Below are 19,543 nucleotides of genomic sequence, written 5' to 3'. Positions count from 1 at the left end.
GCTCTCAGACCTCAGCAAATTATCCTATTGGTTTGAGCCATAAAGTTAGCTCATGCTAACTTTGATTTAAAGCTTGTCAAAGGTCAGGGGTATCTCCACTCAGAAACCCCTTCTGGTTACCAAAATGTAAACCCAGAAAATCTGAGAGTTCTCAGTTAATTTTGAAAGTTTAGGCCAGGCACAGTGGCTCACACCTATAATCCCAGCACTTTGGGAGGCTGAGGTGGGTGGATCACGAGGTCAGGTGTTCAAGACCAGCCTAGCCAAGATGATGAAACCCTGTCTCTACTAAAAATACAAAAATTAGCTGGGCTTCTGTAATGGCAGCTACTCGGGAGGCTGAGGCAGGAGAATTGCTTGAACCTGTGAGGCAGAGGTTGCAGTGAGCCGAGATCATGCCACTGCACTCCAGCCTGGGCAACAGAGCAAAACTCTTGTCTCAAAAAAAAAAAAAAAAAAAAAAAAGAAAGAAAGTTAGTTTACTTTGTCAAGGTCGAGGATGTGCACCCAAGACACAGTCTCAGGAAGTCCTGACAACATGTGCCCAAGGTGGTTGTGGCACAGCTTGGTTTTATACATTTTAGGGAGACATGAGACATCAATCAATACATGTAAGAAGTACATTAGTTCAGTCTGGAAAGGCTGGACAACTCGAAGTGAAGGTGAGAAGACCTGAAGCAGGAGGGGGCTTCCAGGTCACAGATAAGTGAGAGACAAACAATTGCATTCTTCTGAGTTTCTGATTAGCCTTTCCAAAGGAGGCAATCAGATACTATACGCATCTATCTCAATGAGCAGAGGGACAACTGAATAGAATGGGAGGCAGGTTTGCTCTAAGCCGTTCCCAGCTGCTTTTTCCCTTTAGCTTAGTGATTTTGGAGGCCCAAGATATTTCCCTTTCACAATGCCAAAATAAAGTTTGCTGAAGAAGAAAAGGGGAAAGTAGGAAGTAGAGAAGGAAGAGGAGGAGAAGAAAGAGGGACAGGGAGGACAAAGAAGAAAGTAGCTGTTGGCAGCCATCTTGAAACCACCCTGGAAAAGACTGTCTCAGGATACAGTGAAACCAGAAGAGCTAAGAGGTGGACCCACGTGACTTTGAGCACTACTTTATGCTTTAAATCTCCTAAACTTTCCAGCTTATATGAGTCACATTATCCTTTCTTACAAGACTTGGTTGTGAAATACATATTTTACCAGATTCCAGCTGGAAGCAACTACATTTCTTTTGCTTTCTTTCATTTTTTTTTTGTTGTTGTTTGTTGTTACTCCTAAATGAATACTGAAACTACCCAAGAGAGGTCTAAGAAGCTACACACTTGGTGACAAAATATAAAGCATTAAAGGAAGGAAGAGGAGGGCAGAAATTAGAGAAACACAATCACCAAGAGTTACTTGGGCAATTTAACAACAACAATAACAACAAAAACAACCTGATTAAAAAATGGGCAAAGCCCATTAGAGCCCGTCTAATTTTGTATTTTTAGTACAGATGGCGTTTCTCCATGTTGGTCAGGCTGGTCTCGAACCCCCGACCTAGATATCTGCCTGCCTCGGCCTCCCAAAGTGCTGGCATTATAGGCATGAGCCACTGCACCCAGCGTATTTTAAGTATTTTTATCTTCCACTTTTTAATTTATCTGGGTCCAACGAATTCCAAATTTAACAAAGCAGACTAAGAGAAACAATTCATTTAAAAAAATAATATTTGGCCAGGCACAGTGGCTCATGCCTGTAATCCCAGCACTTTTGGAGGCCAAGGCGGGTGGATCAGGAGGTCAGAAGTTCAAGACCAGCCTGGCCAAGATCGTGATACCCTGTCTCTACCGAAAATACAAAAATCAGCCAGGCATGGTGGCTGGTGCCTGTAATTCCAGCTGCTCAGGACCAGGGAGGCAGAGGTTGCGGTGAGCCAAGATCGTGCCACTGCACTCCAGCCTGGGTGACAGAGCAAGGCTCTGTCTCAAAAAAAAAAAAAAAAAATTCTTAAGGGAGTTACAAACACAAAAATGAAGGAAACAATAGCTGCTATCACAAAACCAGATTTAAGTCCATAGCCCACAGATCCTACACAGCAATTACACAATGGAGAACACAGAGCAACCAGCTAACAATATCGCAACAGGATCAAAATCTCATACAGCAGTGTTAATCTCAAATTAAATGGTCTAAATGCTCCACTCAGAAGTCAGGGTGGTAAGTTGAATACAAAAACGAAAACCAACCACTGCTTGTCTTCAAAACCCATCTCACATGTAATACCATGCAAAGGCTCAGTGTAAAGGAATGAGGAAGGATCCATCATGCAAATAAAATGGAAAAGAAGAGTAAAGGTTGCCATTCTTCTTTCTTTCTTTCTTTTTTCTGAGATGCAGTCTTGCTCTGTCGCCCAGGCTGGAGTGTAGTGGCATGATCTCGGCTCACTGTAAGCTCTGCCTCCGGGTTCAAGTGATTCTCCTGCCTCAGCCTCCCAAGTAGCTAATTTTTGTATTTTTAGTAGAGACGGGGTTTCACTGTGTTATCCAGGATGGTCTCAATCTCCTGACCTCATGATCTGCCCACCTCGGCCTCCCAAAGTGCTGGGATTACAGGCGTGAGCCACTGAGCCCAGCCGCTATTCTTATATCAGATAAAACAGACTTTAAATCAACAACAGTAAAAAAAGACAAAGACGAGCATTACATAATGATAAAAGGCTCAATTCATAATGATAAAAGGCTCAATTCAACAGGAAGACTTCATTATCTTAAATATATACACACTCAACATTGGAGCACTCAGATTCATAAAATAGTACTTCTATTTTATGTCTATGAAAAAGTCTAGACAGCCACATAATAATAGGGGACTTCAACACCTCACTGACAGCATTAGACAAACCACTGAGACAAAACCTACAAAGAAATTCTGGACTTAAATTTGACTCTTGATCAATTAGGCCTAACAGACATCTATAGAATACTCTATCCCAAAATCACAGAACATACTTTCTTCTCATGTGCACATGGAACATACTCTAAGGTCAACCACATGCTTGGCCATAAGCAAGTCTCCATAAATTTAAAAATAAAATAAAATCATATCAAGCACACTCTTGGATTACACTGCAATAAAAACATATCAATACTGAGATATCTCAAAACTACAGAATTACATGGAAGTTAAAAAACATGCTCCTGAATGACTTTTGGGTAAACAATGAAATTAAATCAGAAACAAAAAATCTTCAAAATAAATAAAAACAGAGACACAACATATCAAAACCTCTGGGATATTGCAAAAGCAGTGTTAAGAGGAAAGTTTACAGTGCTAAGTGCACGTGCCAATAAGTTAGAACGATCTGAAATTAACAATCTGACATTACACTTGGAGGAACCAAAAAACAAGAAAATAACCCCAAAGCTAGCAGAGGAAAAGAATTAACTAAAATGAGAGCAGAACTGAATGACATTGAAACCCCAAAACCCACATAAAGGATAAACAAAAATTGATTCCTTGAAAGAATAAAAAAGATTGATAGACTTCTAATTGGATTAACCAAAAGTGAGAATATTTAAATAAGCACCATCAGATATGACACAGATGACATTACAACCGATCCAACAGAAATAAAATAGATCCTCAGAGACTATTATGAACACCTCCATACACACAAATTAGAATTTCTACAGGAAAACAGATAAATTCCTGGAAACACAAAAATTTTCAAGACTGAACCAGGAAGAAACTGAAATCGTGAACAGACCAGTAACAAGTTCTGAAATTGAAGCAATAATAAAAAACCTACTAACCGAAATAAGGCCTGGACCAGATGGATTCACAGCTGAATCAGAACCAAAGCTGTTCTCAATCCTACAGAAACTCTTCCAAAATATTGACGAGGAGGGACCCCTCCCTAATTCAGGAGTTTGAGACCACCTGGACAACATGGCAAAACCCTGTCTCTACAAAAAATACAAAAATTAGCTAGGCGTGCTGGCATACACATGTTGTCCCAGCTACTTGGGGGGCTGAGGCAGGAGGATCACTTGAGCCCAAGAGGTTGAGGCTGCAGTGAGTTGTGTTTGCACCACTGCAGTCTAGCCTGAGAAACAAAGACCCTGTCTCAAAAAACAAAACAAAACACAAAGCTAAAATTGACAAATGGAACTTAATTAAAGAGCTTCTGTACATCAAAAGAAACTATCAACAGAATAAAAAGACAACCTACAGAATGGGAGATTTTTGCAAACTATGCATCTGACAAAGGACTAATATCCAGCATCTATAAGGAACAAACAAATTTACAAGAAAAAAACAAACAACCCCGTAAAACAGTGGGCCAAGGACATGAACAGATATTCCTCAAAAGAAGACATACATGCATCCAGTAAGCACATTTTTAAAAAAGATTCCTATCATTAATCATTAGAGAAATGCAAATCAAAACCACGAGAGACTAACCCACACCAGTTGGAATGGCAATTAGTCAAAAATATTTAATAACAGATGCTGGTGAGGTTGTACAGGAAAGGGAACACTTATACACTGCTGGTGGGAATGTAAATTAGTTCAGCCATTGTGAAAAGACGTTTGGTGATTTCCCAAACAACTTAAAACTGAACTACCATTCTACCCAGAAATCCCAATATTGGGTATATACCCAAAGGAATATATATCATTCTACCAAAAAGACACATGCACTTGTATGTTTATCGCCACACTATTCACAATAGCAAAGACATGGAGTCAACCAGGAGCCCATCAAAGGTGGATTGGATAAAGGAAACATGGTACATTCACACCATGTTACACTATATAGCCATAAAAAGAACAAAATCATGTACTTCGCAGCAACATGGATTTAGCTGGAAGCCATTATCCTAAGCAAACTAATGCAGGAACAGAAAACCAAATACTACATGTTCTCACTTAGAACTGGGAACCAACCACTGGGTACACATGGACACAAAGATGAGAACAGCAGACACTGAAGACTACAAGAAGGGGAAGGATGGGAGGCGAACCAGTGTCAAAAATGACCTATTGAGTAGTAAATACTCACTGCCTGGGTGACAGGGTCAATCATACCCCAAACCTCAGCATTATGCAATACACCTTTGTAAAAACATCTGCACATGTACCCCCTGAATCTAAAATAAAAGAAAGAAAAAGAATAAACAAAATGCTTTTTAAAACTTGCCAAAGAAGCCGGGCGCAGTGGCTCACTCCTGTAATCCCAGCACTTTGGGAGACGGGGCGGGCGGATCACGAGGTCAGGACATTGAGGCCATCCTGTCTCTAATAAAAATACAAAAAAGTTAGCCAGGAGTGGTGGCGGGCGCCTGTAGTCCCAACTACTCGGGAGGCTGAGGCAGGAGAATGGCGTGAACCCGGGGGTGGAGCTTGCAGTCAGTGAGCAGAGATCGCGCCACTGCACTCCAGCCCGGGTGACAGAGCGAGACTCCCTCTCAACAACAACAACAACAACAACAACAACAAATTACCAGGTACAGTGACTAAAACATGGATTGTTATAAAAACAGATACACAGACCAATGGAACAGAATAGAGAACCCAGAAATAAATCTACATATTTACAGGCACATGATTTTTGACAAAGGTGTCAAAGGTGTCAACAACATAACATTGGGAAAGAACACTCTCTTCAACAAATTGGGCTGGGGAAACTGGATATCAGTAGGATGAAGAATGAAAGCAGATCCTTATCTTTCACCATAAAATCAACTCAAAATCCATTAAAGACTTAAAAATAAGACCCCAAATTATGAAACTACTAGAAGAAAATATATAGAGAAAATACTTCAAGACATTGGTCTAGGCAATGATTTTATGGCTAAGACATCAAAAAAAAAACAGGTAAAAAATAAAAACAAAGATCAAAAATAGATAAATGAGACTATATTAAAAGTTTCATTACAGCAAGGAAAACCACCAATGGAGTGAAGAAAATCCATAGAATGAGAGAAAATACTTGAAAGCTGTTCACCTGACAAAGGTCTAAATCCAGAATATATGGGAAAGCAAACACCTTAACAGTGAAAAAGTTAGTAGTCCAACTAATAAGTGGGTAAAGGCTCTGAGTAGATTATTTTTCAAAGGAAGACACACAAATGGCCAATATATGAAACAGTACTCAATATCATCTCACCACAGTTAGAATGGCTACTATCAGGAAGACAAAAAGTAAAAAATGCTAGTGAGGTTGGGGAGAAAAAGGGAACTCTTATGCACTGGTGTAGGAAATAGCAAATTACTATAACCGTTATGAAAAACAGTGTGGAGGCTTCTGTAAAAACTAAAAATAGAACTGTGGTGTGATCCAGCAATCCTACTATTGAGTATTTATCCAAAAGAAAGAAAATCAATGTATCAAAGGACACCAGCACCCCCATGTTTATTGCAGCACTATTCACAATAACTAAGATGTGGAATTAACCTTAATGTTTATCAACAGATGATTGTGGTTGATGAATAAAGAAAATAGGGCATACATACACAATGGAATACTGTTTAGCCAAAAAATAAATTAATGTCATTTGCAACAACATGAATGAGCCTGGAGGACATTATGTTAAGTGAAATAAGGCACAAAACCATAAGTACTGCATGTTCTCACTTATGGGAACTAAAGTAAAAAATTTGAGGTCATGGAAGTAGAGAGTAGAACTGTGGGTATTACAGGGTGGGAAAGGTAGGGGGAGTGGAGGATGGGGAGAGGTTGGTTAATGGATACAAAATTATAGCTACATAGGAGGAATTAACTCTAGTGTTCCGTGGCACTGTAGGGTCACTATGATTATGATTTATAGTGTATTTTTAAAAAGGTAGAGGAGAGGATTTTCAATGTTCAAAGCACAAAGAAATAGTAAATGTTTAAGGTGATGGCTTTGCTAATAGCCTGATTTGACCATTATACAGTGGCTACACTTATCAAAATATCACTGTGAATCCCATAAATATGTACAATTATACATGTCCACAAAAATAAAAAGGAAATTGGGTATGATGTAATACACCTGTAGTCCCAGCTATTCACGAGGCTGAGGCAGGAGGACCCCTTGAGCCCAGGAGTACAAGGCCAGCATGGGCAATGTAGTGAGTGAGACACTATCAATCAATCAAAAATAAACAAACAAACAAACAAACAATTCATCCTATAAATAGACTATGGGCCACACTTAGTGACTTGCTTCTAATGAATAGAATGTGGTACAAGTGATACCGTGTGGCCTCCAACATTAGGTTAGAAGAGGCTCTCTACCTCAGACTGCTTGCCCTTAGAACCGAGCCCCCATGTTGTGAGGAAGCTCAGGTCACAAAGACACACAGGAGTTCCAGTGCAAGTATTTGGGCTGCCTGCCCCAACTAAAGTTCCAATCAACAGCCACTGTCAACAACCAGACATATCAGTGACCAGACCTTCAGATGATTCCAGTCCCCCAACATTTGATTGACTGCAAGTGAAGCTGAGGGGAGCAGAGAAGGTTGTCCTGGACAAGGATTTTCCAAACCACAGATTGGTGAACTAAATACATGTTGCTGTTAAGCCACTCACCTTTGGGTAGCTTGTTAGGGAAAAATAAACAGGAAAACAGACTTAAACAAAAAACAGTAAGAAATATAATAGCTTACACAGTAGTAACTAGTCTCCTTTAAAATAGGATCTACTAAATGTTGAGGTTAATTTATTAATGACAAACAATGCTAATGAGAAGCAGCAGACAACCAGGAGACAGACGTATGAACTATTGAGGAGGACGTTTAGAAGAAGTTCCCTTCAGTTACAAATTCTCATAACTAAGCAAATGAGGCTCTTTAGCATTTGCCCCTCAAGTTATGGGATAAGGAAGATGAGGAAGGAAGGATGTATAATCTGAAGTATGAAAGTTGACAAAAAACAGAAGTATTTGATATAATAACACAAATCAGACATTTTACCTGATTTCAGTGAACTGAAATTCTAAAAGTGATAAGCAGCTGAGTAATTATTAATCAATCTAGTATTTGATCTTCATTTTCATTTCCTCAATGAGAAAATAAAGAGAATACTAGGAAATCAGTTTTAATCTTCTCTGTAGCAAAACAAATGTAGTGTCCTTTACATGTTAAAAAATTAAATACAATTTCCCTTCAAGCTGAGAAGGTAAGACCATCTCATCTTTACATTGTACCAAAATGCTGCTCCATATCGTACAAATTGGCTCTGAAATTTTGAGATTCATAAAACTAATTTGACTATTTGTCTCTGATAAATACCTGGACATCACCTAATTTTTAGGTGCTGCATTCCTGAAAATTTTTATTTGAATGGGTTGAACTACTAATTTGATTATGTACTGAGCTATAAAGCATAGCTAGGCACCTCTGTTAAGTAAAAGCAGTTAAATACAGAAAACTGTAATTTCTGAGAATGTAGGATCTGTGCCAAGAAAAGGATCAGCTCCAGTGTTATCCAAAGAACCAGGCACCAGGTCAACAGAGGATCTATTTGTGAGCTGTAAGATGATGAATTAGCTCAATTTCCAAAGAGGAAAGCAACAGCCCAGACTTAATCTTCTCCTTCCTACATGGCAAAAATCTACACAATTCTATGACTTATTATGAGTTAGTAAATATAATGCAGTAAATACAGACTGAGTCAGCAGATCCTCTAACCAAGATTTGATGAAAATGGGAGTGAAGAGGTAGGGCCTGAGTGAGAGAAAAACGGTTTGAATGGAGAAAAAGAAATGAATACGCTCTTGTCTTTGTAAGCCTGACTTCCCATTGTGTCACAGGAGTCAGCAAGGTATTAATATAAGCTAGCCACATGTTCCTTCAGGAAGCAAACAGTGAAATTAAAGGCATCCTAGTACTTGAATTTCTATTCTTACTTAGGACAATTGGGAATAATAAGCAACATGACTGAAAAATAATTATCCTAAAATTAGATTCGGTACTGGCATGATGATAGACATAGATCAACATATTAGAATTGAGAATCCCAAAATAAACCCACATATTTATGGTCAATTGATTTTCAACAAGGGTAAAAAAACAACAAATGAGACTATTAATTTGTTAAAAAGAATAGCCTTTTCAACAAATGGTAATGGGGCAACTGGATATCCACATGCAAAAGAATAAAGATGGACTCCTAACATATGCCACATCTAAAATTAACTCAAAATAGGACTGCTAAATATAAGAGCTAAAACTATAAAATTCTTTATTAAAATTTGAAATGTCTGCACTTGAACAGACATCATCAAGAAAGTAAAAATAAAAGCCATTGAGTGAAATAAAATATTTGAAAATCATATCTGTTAAGGGTCTTACACCTAAGATCTACAAAAAACTTAAAATTCAGAAAAAAAAGGGAAGGTGATTTTTAAATGGGCATAGCATTTAAATAGACATTTTCCCAAAGATACACAAGTGGCTCATAAGCACATAAAAAGATGCTTAACATCATTACTCATTAGGGAAACGCAAATCAAAACAAAAATGAGGTATCACTTTGCGGGGCGCGGTGGCTCACACCTGCAATCCCAGCACTTTGGGAGGCCAAGGCGGGTGGATCACGAGGCCAGGAGATCAAGACCACCCTGGCTAACACGGTGAAACCCCATCTCTATAAAGATACAAAAAATTAGTCGGGCATGGTGGTGGGTGCCTGTAATCCCAGCTACCTGGGAGGCTGAGGCAGGAGAATGACTTGAACCCGGTGCAAGGGAGGTTGCATGAGCCGAGATTGTGCCACTGCACTCCAGCCTGGGCGACAGAGCAAGACTCCATCTCAAAAAAAAAAATAAAATCAGGTATCACTTCACACCACTAGGATGGAATCTTCAATCAAAAATGTGAAAAATGTTGGGAAGATACAGAGAAATTAGAATCCCCATACAATTCTGACGGAAATGTAAAATGGTGCAGCCACTTTGGAAAACAGACTGACAGCTCCTCAAATTCCACTTGTAAGTATACACCAGCAATTCCACTTCTAAGTATACACCCATGAGAAATGAAAACATATGCAAACACAAAAACTTGTACATAAAACTTCATAGCAGTATGATTAATAGCCAAAACATGGTAACAACCCAAAGGTCCATAACTGATGAATGGGTAAATAAAATGACTGGTATATCCACAGAGTGGAATGTTACTCAGCAATTAGAGGAAGTTGAGTACTGATACATGTTACAATGCGGATGAGCCTTAAAAATGTTATGCTAAGTGAAAGAAGCCAATCACGAAAGACCACCAAACGTTTTGTGATTCAATTGATACGAAATGTCCAGAATGGGCAACTCTATAGAAACAAAGTAGACTGGTGGTTCCCTAGAGCTGAGGAAGGGCAAACTGGTGGATGATGGCTAAATGATGCAGGGTTTCTTTTCAGGGTCGTGAAGATGTTCTCAAATTGATGTTGCTGATGACTACACAACTCCATGAATATACTAAGAGACTTGTACATTTTCAATGGGTGAACTGTATGTTATGCAAATTATATATCAACACAGTTGCTTTAAAAAATCCAGTGGCAGGATCTAGATACATTTCTTAATTCTCTACTTTGGATGTATATACTCTACACGATCTGAGTATTTCCATGCTTTTACAATATACTTAAAATGAAATGAAAATGAAGGAAATGCCTAACATTTCAAGTACTTTGTAAATTAATCTAAAACATTTGCATTTTGGAGAAGAGTTTAATGGCCTTTCCATACAAGTTATCCTGAAATTCATGCAATAAACAGACACACATTCTATACCCATTCATGAAAGTAAAGACAAGAAATAAGACACTTCTTTGGAACACTATATTAAACATTATCCTCTGATTTAATCTGGCTTGCCTTACCATGACAGTAGAGAACTAGCTAAGAAATAATGGTTTGCAGAAAAAACTCTCTCAACTGCTGTGAGGAATGAGGTATAATTCCCAACTTTCATAAGGGTAAATATTATTTTTAAAATGTATATACTTATGAGAAAAACATGACAGAATGAAAGTCAGAGGTTAAGAAATAACTGCATGATAAAGATAATAAAATTAATTATAATAAAAATAAAAAACTATCCAATGCAATTAGTATCCTAAAACATTAGATATTATTCCACTACCTATAGATTAACCATTGACATGTTATGTTTCATATGTACTTGACTTCCAATTTTACCTAATTCCTTCTTTGAATCTTGGGTCTCTTCTAAATTAATAAGACAATGTGGTGTAGCCTCTAGGTAAGGCTCTGACATAGGTTGTATTTTTAGGGTATCAGCCAGTTCTTCTTGAAGTTGTCTCATAACTACCTGTTCAGATATTTTTGTTACTGATTTTACATGTTACCTTATCAGTAAATCATGGTAATAAGACTTAACATGTACTTTGAAAAATAGCACCACATACATGAATTTACGTTCTTTTCCTATGTGTATACATGCTTATTACTGAATTCAGTTAAGGACACAGAAGGTATTATTTTCCTGCCAAGTCAGTATTCTGCTTAGATTCAGTTTACTATTCACTCACCCGATACATTTGCAATGCTTAACTTCCTACTTAAGTCACAAAAACAAATCCGTATGTGGGTGGGACTGGTGGTAGAAAATGCAACATTGTAAAATGTTTTTCCTCTTTTTTATTAGAAGCTCAAAGAAACCCCACCACTCCTGACATCCTCAATTGCCTGCTCAGATCCTTCCAATAGATTTCTATCTCAGAATACAAGTAAAATTTCAATTGCCTTCCAGGCCCTGGGTAACCACCGGCCTTCACCTCCCTCCCTGACCTCAGCTCCTACAAATCTCTTCTCTACTCACTGCTTTCTCACTGTATGTGAATCCTGCCACCTCCCACTAGATTGAAAATGGGAACCTAATGTCAAACAAAGCAATCGCAGATAGCCACAATTATCTTTGTGTGAAACAAAGTCATATCCAAATGATAGCCATTGAGCCTTGAAATAAAAATTATGGGCAAATTATTTTTAAGAACATTCAAAGTATAAATACCAGTGGTAAGATTAATCAAATATGGTTTTGCTGGAAATTCACATCTGTCCCAAATTATGATTTAATAAAAAGTAAATGCTTTTAAATAATTGAGATGTCATAACAATACTGTGATATTGAAATAGTCTCAGATTAAAGTCAAATTGATACAAATAAAAATAAAATTACACAAACGTAAATACATAAAAAGCCCCTGAAGGAAAAGTATTATGAGATACAACAGTATACTTCAGTTCACCTGGGAAATCTTGAATTAACAGTCAAAGTAACCCACCTAATCGAATCTTAATTTCAAAAGATTTATTTCAGATATAAGGCATTTCTGTTTATCTGCTTCATCATGGTCTTAAAATGTGGCCACATACAAATATTAAAATTATTTTAGCAGTATGTCTACATCATAAATATTAGTCTATATCTACTAACAACTTGTAACTTAACCTCTTAAAATTTCAAAGGTGATATAATTTCTTTACTCAAAGTAAAGTGTACTTCAGCTCTTTCTTTTGCTGGTATGTTTCTAGGCTAACACAGCAAATACACTTTTATTCTAAGTATATTTGTACATACTTTTTTATTTTTTTGAGACGGAGTTTAGCTTTTGTTGCCCAAGTTGGAGTGTAATGGCGCGATCTCGGCTCAATGCAACCTCCGCCTCCCGGGTTCAAGCGATTCTCCTGCCTCAGCCTCCTGAGTAGCTGGGATTACAGGTGCCCGCCACTACGCCCAGCTGATTTTGTATTTTTAGTTGAGATGGGGTTTCTCCATGTTGGTCAGGCTGGTCTCGAACTCCCGACCTCAGGTGATCCGCCCGCCTTGGCCTCCCAAAGTGCTGGGATTACAGGCATGAGCCACCGCGCCCAGCCTATTCTACATACTTTTATATTCAACTATATATAACATTTAGCATAACCAAATATTACTTTTTCTTTCAGTTTGAAAAATATCTTTCTTGGTACTTACTTTTTTTTCTTTCTCTTTTTCACATTGATATATTCTTTCTTTCAAATTATTACATACATTGATTAAGTCCTTGTTTTTCTCTTCTAGCAGAAGACTGTGCATTTCACTCCCAGCTAGATTTTTTTACAACAGCATGGATTTGATCTTGGATAGTACTGATTGTCTTTTCTTGATTGTCAGCTTTCTTGTGGGCATCATCCAGTTGCTGTCGAAGCAACCTATTTTCACTTTGTAGTTGAGCACATCTGTCCTCTATAGATTCCTGCTTCTTCCGCGTATTTATTTACTTTACTTTGTTCATTTTTATACATTCGTTCAATTTCTTTCTTTTGACACTGTGTTTGGCCTAGGTCTCTTTGGAAACATTCTAAAACTGATGTCTTTTCTCTGAGTGTTTCTCTTGCTGATGAAACTTAATTTTTAGGCTGTTAATTTTACTGTCAGCATTAGAGAGTTTTTCAGAAAGAATCTAACTGTTATCTTTTAGGTTAGACATATCAGAATTCATTTTCTCCTGTAAATGAACCCATTCATGTCCTGTTCTCTGGAAAGCAAGCTCTAGGTTTTCTTATGCTGTCTGACTTTGATCACAATCATGTACGGCAGCAGCCAGCCTGCATCGATATGGCTGAATTTCCATTTCCAGTCTTTCCATGTTGTGTTTTACATTCTCAAGTTGAGAACTGAGAGTTTTATTCTCAGCTGTCAAAATGCTAAGCTGTCCACTGTACTGAAATACTATTTTTGTTGATGTTTCCTCATTCAGTTTTATCATATTTTGAAGGTTGTCATTCTTTTATTTCACACTTTCAACATCCTTCAAATATTTCTTTTCTTTCAGCTGGTTCTGATGTTTTATTGTGTCTAGTTCCAGTCTTAGCATGGCAATTTCTTCCTGCAACATACTATTTTTATGCAACAGGTCTTTTTCTTTCTTATGGCTTTGAGAAATCTAAGTAAACAAAGGAAACTTAGCACTCAATAGAATGACATATCATGGTTTCTTCTGAAATTAAAGAATAACCTGTATATTTGTACAATGAAAGGATTCCCGTAAGTGGATATTTAACTGGAAAAAATGTTAAATCAAAATTTCAAACCTCAGAGTGTAAATTCCCAAAAGTTAAAAAAATCTATTTGAAGACAATGAATCAATAAAAGTAAAAAATAAACCACTAGAGGATTTTTAAGACTCTCAGAATTGACAAAGCCTTTCTCTGAATTTCAAAAAACCCAGCGGCATAAAATATGAGATTGATACATTTGACTAAATTTTTAAAATTTAAAAATTTTAAAATCTGATATCTAACCTATACACCACCCTATTGTAAGACTCTTAGTTCTGCATTTATTTGGACTGAAGAAATTCCTCAAAGTTCTCTAAGTTCCTTTTTCCTGATAATGTTCTATAAATATTCTACTTTTCTAACAATTTTATTGTAAGTTATAAAGATTACACTTATTCATAAATGTTAAATCTAAGCATTGTACATTTCTACATTTTACACTTCTACATCTAAGCATTGCACTTTTACATACATTACTGAACTCATTTAAGGTCTCAATTCTGAAGAGGAGAGATTGAAATATATGCAAGATGCAGGATTTTCCCTAGGTCTTCTGATTCTACTTCTAGTCCTCCTCCATCAAATTGCAGTTACTTCTGTGGTGTAAATATATAAATACAAAAGAAGCCTCTTATTTAAAAATACCAATGGTAAAATTTATAGAGATCTTCTTAAAAAATCATGAGATTTGCTATTGTAATAACTTTTATTTCCTCTTTATAATGTTTGAAACAGTAATAAGTGTGAAATAGGGGGAAATACACTGAACTATTTTTCTAGAAACAAAACACTTACCAATAAATTATCACTAAATGTATATTATTCTACATCATTGTTTTCAAAGCCCTTTGCATTGAAATTAGATACTACTTGGAGAAAACTTTTAAGTTCTTCAAAAGTAAGAAGAATGACATCCACAATATGGCCTCTAAACTGGCTATACATTTCCTCCTTATCTATCAATGAAAATAATAAACTGACTTCTCCACTAATATTTTGAGAAGATAAAACAATGTCCGAAAACTAGAACGTCTGTTGTTAGTACCAAAAATTTTGAGATTATGGAAAGATCATCAATTCTTATAAAAAATATCAAATGCTTCTTCTTTGGATTGAGGCCATTGTGAATGTCACTACTTGACTGCTGCAGACTAATGGAGCTGAATTAAGAATATGACTTTATCCTACACACACACACACACACACACACACGTGTATATTCTATATATAGATACACAAACACATAGGATGTGTGTGTGTGTGTGTGTGTGTGTATATATATATATATATATATATATATATAATTTAAAAATCCTTTATATTTTCCAAGGTACACAGAGTTGGTTTTTCAAATATATACACATACAAAAACATATTTGAAAATGACTAAAGAAAATACCTCAGAATTCATTTTCTTTTGAGCCCCTTCAACCTCCTTTTGCTTACTGGTCAGAATCTCATCTTGTAATATTCTGGCATTCTGCTCTTCAGAAAGTTGCTTGTGGGTATCGCTTCGCTTCTGCACAACCTAGACATACATTACATTTTTGGTCTAATAGCATTGAAAAAGAAAATCTAAAGAACAGAACCGTTTTTGTAAAACTGTTAAAAAAAAAAAGTAGCCTATTAAAACACAAGGACTTTTATCCCTCAGGAATTACTCAAACTTTAATTGCATACATGACAGCTAAATTTCTCAAAGAGGAAAAACAGTTCTTACCTACAGAAAAATACAGTATCGTGTAATAAAATTTCTTTCAAAACATTTAACTAGCTTTGTTATAGTCTCAAAGCTATAGAGCCTATATTTTAACATAAAAATACACAAATATTTATGTGATTAAACTCAATTTATCCTCCATTCCTTCATTCAGAAAACATAAGAGATAGTTTGAGCATCTAAGACTGAACATCACAGACAGAGATGCCAAGGTTTACAATAAATAGCTATAAATGTCATACTTCCTTTTTAAGATTAAATAACAGTCTTGGTATGTTTTGAAACTAAATTATATACATTACATCAAAGGATGTAAAAAATACAAAGGATGTAATTATATAAAGTTAGAAATATAAAGTTTTCACCAAAAATTAATTTACCTGATCCAAATTCTTTCCTTATGTCCTCAATTCTGTGACCAGTGATTTCAGAGTCTGTTTGAGTTGTTTCAACTTCTTTCCCGCATTCCTTTTCTTTTCTTTTTAACTGTTCACTATCTTTTTTAGGCAACATATCATCATTTCTTCTCTTTTCTTCTTCTTTTAAGGTCATTCTACAGTAAAACATATTAAAATTTGTTTTGTTAGAAAATAAAAAGTTTATTTTGTTATCTGGCTCTTCCTACGCAGTGTTTATTATTCAAATAAAATTTCTATGTTCTTGACTATTTTTCCTTTCTAGTTCTCATGTTTTTAATTTCTCACTTCAGTCTCTTCCAAGGGATAAATATACTTGAAAGGTAGTGAAGAAAAAACATCCTGCTAATTGGTGAGTTTCTGTTACTAGCAATTCTGATAAATGTTATGGAAAAGAATATTAGAAATTATTTAGTATAGTTACACGTTGAAAATTACTTCTTTTTGGCAGGGCGCCGTGGCTCACGCCTGTAATCCCAGCACTTTGGGAGGCCGAGGTGGGCGGATCACAGGGTCAGGAGATTGGGACCATCCTGGCTAACACAGTGAAACCTCATCTCTACTAAAAATACAAAAAAAAATTAGCTGGGTGTGGTGGAGTGTGCCTGTGATCCCAGCTACTCGGCAGGCTGAGGCAGGAGAATGGCGTGAACCTGGGAGGCGGAGCTTGCAGTGAGCTGAGATCGCACCAATGCACTCCAGCCTGGACGACAGACAGAGCGAGACTCCCTCTCAAAAAAAAAAACAAAGAAAGAGAAAATTACCTCTTTTTCACACAGTCATAAGAACTCAATTAGGACAGATCATTTCAAATTAACTAATTAAAAAGAACATACTACTTATAAACAACTTTGTAAATTCACTAGAAATAAATTTTAATTTTCATGAAATACTGCAGGTATTCCTAAAATAATTTACAGTGCAAGATGGCTCCATCGGGCCGGGCACAGTGGCTCAAGCCTGTAATCCCAGCACTTTGGGAAGCCAAGGTGGGTAGATCACCCAAGGTCAGGAGTTCGAGACCAGCCTGACCAACAAGGTGAAACCCCATCATTACTAAAAATACAAAAATTTGCCAGGCCTGGTGGCAGGCATCTGTAGTCACAGTTACTTGGGAGGCTGAGACAGGTGAATTGCTTGAACCTGGGAGGTGGAGGTTGCAGTGAGCCGAGATCAGGCTGCTGCACTCAGGAAGCCTGGGTGACTGAGTGAGACTCTGTCTCAAAAAAAAAAAAAAAAAAAAGATGGCACCATCGGATGTCAGTCACACAATATATATCTGCAGATTACTATAATCCAATACAAGGCAATGGGGTCTAATATCTGTTAATCCAGCTGTCCCTGGTCTTTTTGGCACCAGGGACTGATTTTGTGGAAGACAATTTTTCCATGAACCTGGGGGAGAGGGGGCTGGTTTAGGGATGATTCAAGCACATCACATTTATTGTGCACTTTATTTATATTATTATTACTTTGTAATATATAATGAAATAATTAATTATATAACTCACATGATGTAGAATCAGTGAAAGTCCTGAGCTTGTTTTCCTTCAACTAGACAGCTCCCTCTGGGGGTGATGGGAGACAGGGACATATCATCAGGCATTAGATTCTCATAAGGAGAGCACAACCTAGATCTCCAATGTGTGCAGCTTACAGTAGGATTTGGTTCACACTCCTATGAGAATCTAATGGTGCTGCTGACCTAAAAGGAGGCAGAGATCAGGTGGTAATGTAAGTGATGGGGGGCGGCTGTAAATACAGATGAAGCTTTGCTTGCTCACTTGCCGCTCACCTCCTGCTGTGTGGTCTGGTTCCTAATAGGCCATGGACTGGTACTGGTCCGTGGCCTGGGGGTTGGGGACCCTTGTGTTAACCAATACTTTTTATGTTTATTTTTTGGTAACACTTTCCACTTATCTTCTTGATTCTTGTGTATTTTATAAACAATTTTAAAATTCCTTTTGGAACAAGATAGGATCTAACATTTAAACAATAAAGAATAACATGTGGTTTTTTTTTTAGTTTTTTTTTTTTTTGAGACTGAGTCTCCCTCTGTCGCCCAGGCTGGAGTGCAGTGGCGCGATCTCAGCTCGCTGCAAGCTCCGCCTCCCGGGTTCACGCCATTCTCCTGCCTCAGCCTCCCGAGTAGCTGGGACCACAGGCGCCTGCCACCATGCCCGGCTAATTTTTTATATTTTTAGTAGAGACAGGGTTTCACCGTGTTAGCCAGGATGGTCTCAATCTCCTGACCTCGTGATCCGCCCACCTTGGCCTCCCAAAGTGCTGGGATTACAGGCGTGAGCCACCGTGCCCGGCCAACATGTGTTTTCAACATAGAACTTTGAATTAATTGTATCTGTATAGGAGAGAGAGATGTGAAATAAACTAATCATTATTCACTTTCCATTTTAGTTTTTATTTCATGTATATTAATAAAACTGGGAAGTCCCGGCTGGGCACGGTGGCTCACGCCTGTAATCCCAGCACTCTGGGAGGCTGAGGAGGGTAGATCGCCAGGTCAGGAGACCGAGACCATCCTGGCTAACACGGTGAAACCCCATCTCTACTAAAAAAAAATACAAAAAATTAGCCAGGCGTGGTGGCACACAGCTGTGTCCCCAGCTGCTAGGGAGGCTGAGGCAGGAGAATCGCTTGAACCCAGAAGGTGGAGGTTGCAGTGAGCCACGATCACGCCACTGCACTCCAGCCTGGGTGACACAGTGAGGCTCCATCTCAAAAATAATAATAATAATAAAATAAAATAAAAAATAAAACTTGGAAATCCTAGGCAGAGCAATTGGGCAAGAGAAATAAAGGACTTCCAAATTGGAAAGGAGAAAGTTAAACTATGTCTGCCAATGACACGATCTTATACCTAGAAAGCCCTAAAAATGCCTATAAAACACTCCTAGATTTGATAAATGAATGCAGTGAAGTCTGAGGTTACAAAATCAATGAATCCAAATCAGTAGCACCCATATACACCAACTATGACCAAGCTGAGAGTCAAATCAAGAACCCAATCCCTTTACAATGGCTACAAAAATGTAAAATACCTAGAAATATACTTAATGAAGGAGGTGAATGATCTATATAAGGATAACTAGAAAACACTGCTGAAGGAAATCACAGATGACACGAAGGGAAATACATCCTATGATCATGGACTGCAAGAATTGATATTGTGAAAATGACCCTAATGCCCAAAGGAGCCTACAGATTCAATGCATTTCCCATCATAATACCGATGTCACTCTTTACAGAATTAGAAAAAAAAAATGCTGAAATTCATGTAAAACCACAAAAGAGCCTGAAGAGCAAAAGACATACTAAGCAAAACAACAACAACAACAACAACAACCACAAAAAGT

At 37.4% G+C, this 19,543-nt stretch overlaps 1 long non-coding RNA gene across 1 annotated transcript in view; it reads right to left on the bottom strand.

Annotated features, from left to right (window-relative positions):
• The window catches only part of LOC101928688 (uncharacterized), a 68,479-nt gene that overhangs the window by 17,375 nt on the left and 31,561 nt on the right, over window positions 1-19,543 (bottom strand). Inside the window, exons 6-7 of the long non-coding RNA XR_001745176.2 lie at window positions 16,134-16,306; window positions 15,433-15,561 (exon numbers count right to left, since the gene is read on the bottom strand). This is a non-coding gene — a long non-coding RNA (uncharacterized LOC101928688). The remainder of the gene's footprint in view (window positions 1-15,432; window positions 15,562-16,133; window positions 16,307-19,543) is intronic.

This window comes from Homo sapiens, chromosome 7 (genome assembly GCF_000001405.40).
Source record: "Homo sapiens chromosome 7, GRCh38.p14 Primary Assembly".
NCBI classification, from domain to species: Eukaryota; Metazoa; Chordata; class Mammalia; order Primates; family Hominidae; genus Homo; species Homo sapiens.
This window is presented reverse-complemented; position numbering and strand designations above follow the sequence as displayed.